At 35.5% G+C, this 3,099-nt stretch overlaps 1 annotated feature.

Annotated features, from left to right (window-relative positions):
* Positions 2,749-2,798: an enhancer, noted in NCBI's record as "active region_18303". NCBI's record gives its function as "activates an Ori minimal core promoter by ATAC-STARR-seq in GM12878 lymphoblastoid cells {active_cell/tissue: GM12878}" and the evidence as "EXISTENCE:reporter gene assay evidence [ECO:0000049][PMID:35858748]".

Here is a 3,099-nt window from a genome sequence, read left to right as displayed (position 1 = left end):
CTGCCTATGAAAAGTTACATTTGGTGGTCAATGCCTGAGGAAATCAACATAAAGATCACACAGCTCATTCTAATTTCTCTGTGTCCATACTCACCAAGCAATCTTTTGATAACAGTTTGTCTTTCAGGGTAGATATTTATGCACACAGGTAAACAATATACTACATAGTGGATATGAGAATTTGCTTTCCTTAGTAGTTGAAATTCTCAATGCAAATGATCAAGTTGGCATCTGGCTTACATATCCTTCCATGAATTTGGTTAGTATCAGTCTTATTTCGAAGGTGATATTTTTCTGTTTCAGCCCACTCTTCTTGAAGCACAAATTCCTCAAAGACACAGTAAGTCCAGAATACCATATAAATGGTACAAATAAAATGTTCAGGGTCTAATACTTAGTATTAAAAATGCTAACCTAAACATGTTTCTGCTTTGGAAAGAATGATGCAGTCATGGAAAAATTATCCACCAAGAAAATCTTGTCAATAGCTTTTTTAAAGTTTAGAATATGCATGCAATTCACAATTCTCAGTCAGCTCCTCATATTTTAAAGGGGCCTCAGAAGTCGAAGGTGTTTTAATGGATTAATGCATGGATTAAAATCTGGAAACCGTTCTTCATGCACACTAAATTTTCTTGTAATTCAGCAACAAACATTTAAGGCTATTTGTCAGTTATCTTAAGCTTTACAAAGCCCTGAAGATGTAGAAAATGCCGGCTCATTCGGGTGCCCCGATCTTCCAGGAAGTGCTCTTTATCGGAAAAAAAATTTTCTAGGAAATTAGATGTTAATGAAGAATGTGGTTCTACACAGGACAGTGTGTGAAGTAACAAGGACAGATTAGCCTCAGGGTAGAGCAAATCTGACCTGGGAGCAGGAAGCCAATCACTGTGACATCTGCATGACAGCAGGGGACTCCAGACAACATCATATAGGCCTTAGCATTTGCATATTGTTCATGGTCAATATACCATTTTAAAGATACTTTCTTAGATTTGAAAGGGAGGTTAATAACATAACGAGGTTCAAGTAAGATTAAAAAATAGACCCAGGAGGCGGAGGTTGCAGGGAGCCAAGACTATGCCATTGCACTCCAGCCTAGGGAACAGAGCAAGACTCTGTCTCAAAACAAAAAACAAAAAACAAAAAAAGATTAAAAAATAGTATTTCACAGTTACAAAAAGATAAAATTTATTATCGTACTTGTGTGTGTGTTTTTAACAACATGGTCTGATTCTTGATACATATCATCAGTCACTTACAGTAATATGAGAGAGGAGTAAGAGCATCTAAGAGGAATGCCAACTTGATACCACTACAGTTAAAGTGAATCATAAAAGTGTTGACATTTTTTAAACAGGGAGATTCATGGCAAATTTGATTCACTTATTCAGTATTTTAATACTTATACGTTAGTTTCTTAATATCTGTCTCATAATACATCTGAGACTTAGCTACTTGGGGGCGATTATTTTGTCTATGTGAACTCTGTCTAAAAAAAGAAAAAAACTGGTTATCTAAAACCTTGACTTGAGAACAGACTTACATAAAGTTTTTGAAGGTAAATGATCCATCAGATCCAATTGCAGGAAGCAATAAGGAGAGAACACTTTTTGCACTTTGTGTATATTAATGGTGTGGTGCAGCTATACTGAAGTGGGAGAATGAATGTTATTTATGGTCATAACCTGGTACTTTCCTAATTGCCTGCTTCATTTTGAAATTGTGTTCTATTTCATACTTTAGAGTCAATGTTGCCGAGGGCATCGTGCTTCATTTTGAAATTGTGTTCTATTTCATACTTTAGAGTCAATGTTGCCGAGGGCATCGTGAGTGGTTATTTCCTGTTTCAAAAATGAACATATGAGAAGTACTGGGGAAATGGACAGGCAATTAGCATCTCCTGGAATAAAGTGAAAAACAAAATGAATGATTGATATATAATTAGACAGTAGAGATGATTCACTAATCATTCATTTATTTACTCAGGTAGTACATACATATGAACTTGATACCTGTACCTTTATTATTAATACATACATTAGTCCAGGTCATTCACTCAACTACTTCACGAATACATATTGAGTTTTTACTGTGTGATGTGGTTGCATATTTTGTATTGTAAACTTCCAGAGAATATCCTCATACTGCAACACCTGTAAAATCAGCACATATGGTTTTGTGTTTTCAGATGATAACGATGATGATTATCATGATAGAAAATAGTGAAAAAATCCTCTTAAAGTATAATGTTGAAGAATGACACAGAAAAGAGAGTGAAAAATAAAGCTCTTATTATTTTTCAGGAGAGGGAATGATTACCACTGAGGTAAGATCATGCAGAAGTATAGAAATACTTTGTGTTATCTTTAGAAACTTGCTAGTGTAATCTTAAATGTTGCGAAATAATCCATTATATGTCGATGCCACAATTTACTTAGTCATTCTTATTGATCACAATATAACATATATCTTGGGGTATAAATATTTGCCAGTTTCAGCTTTAAGTCAGCATACATTCTCAGAAGTGGAACTTTGGCTCAAAGGGCATGGTTAATTTTATGGCTCTTTAGATATAACATCTCACTGATTTCTAGATATTTGCACCTCTTGGTACTCAAACCAGCAGTGTATGGTGAAGATTAACATAGACTTGAGTGACTAAGAAGGAAAAAGAAAAGTCACACCTAGTATATACCTACTGCCCCAGACACAATGCTTTCACACATATTACATTATTTAAATATCACAGCTGCTTTGTGGAACATTTTGTGGTTGAAGTTAAGACTTGAAAAATAGCTTGAATGGTGCATACATTTGGAAAAGGTGAAAAGAATGAGGAAGTACCTTCCAGATGGCAGAAACTCCTGGAACAAGAAGTTGTGAACAAATATAGTCCTGTGGTCTTTGAGGTGACCTCAAAATAGCATCCCTACTTCTTCTGTGTGTTCTGACCCAACTGAAAAGTAAGACAGCAGTAAGGCACAGAGGAACAAAATGTCCCTTGTGTGGTCAAGGGTTTTCTAAAACTAAAATCCCCAAATGAGTCAGCAAAGATAAGTGTTCCCACTCCATCCCAGTCCACTCCACTACCACTTC

This window comes from Homo sapiens, chromosome 21, assembly GCF_000001405.40.
Source record: "Homo sapiens chromosome 21, GRCh38.p14 Primary Assembly".
Lineage (NCBI taxonomy): Eukaryota > Metazoa > Chordata > Mammalia > Primates > Hominidae > Homo > Homo sapiens.
Note: the sequence above shows the minus strand (reverse complement) of the source record. Positions and strands in the feature narration are given on the sequence as shown.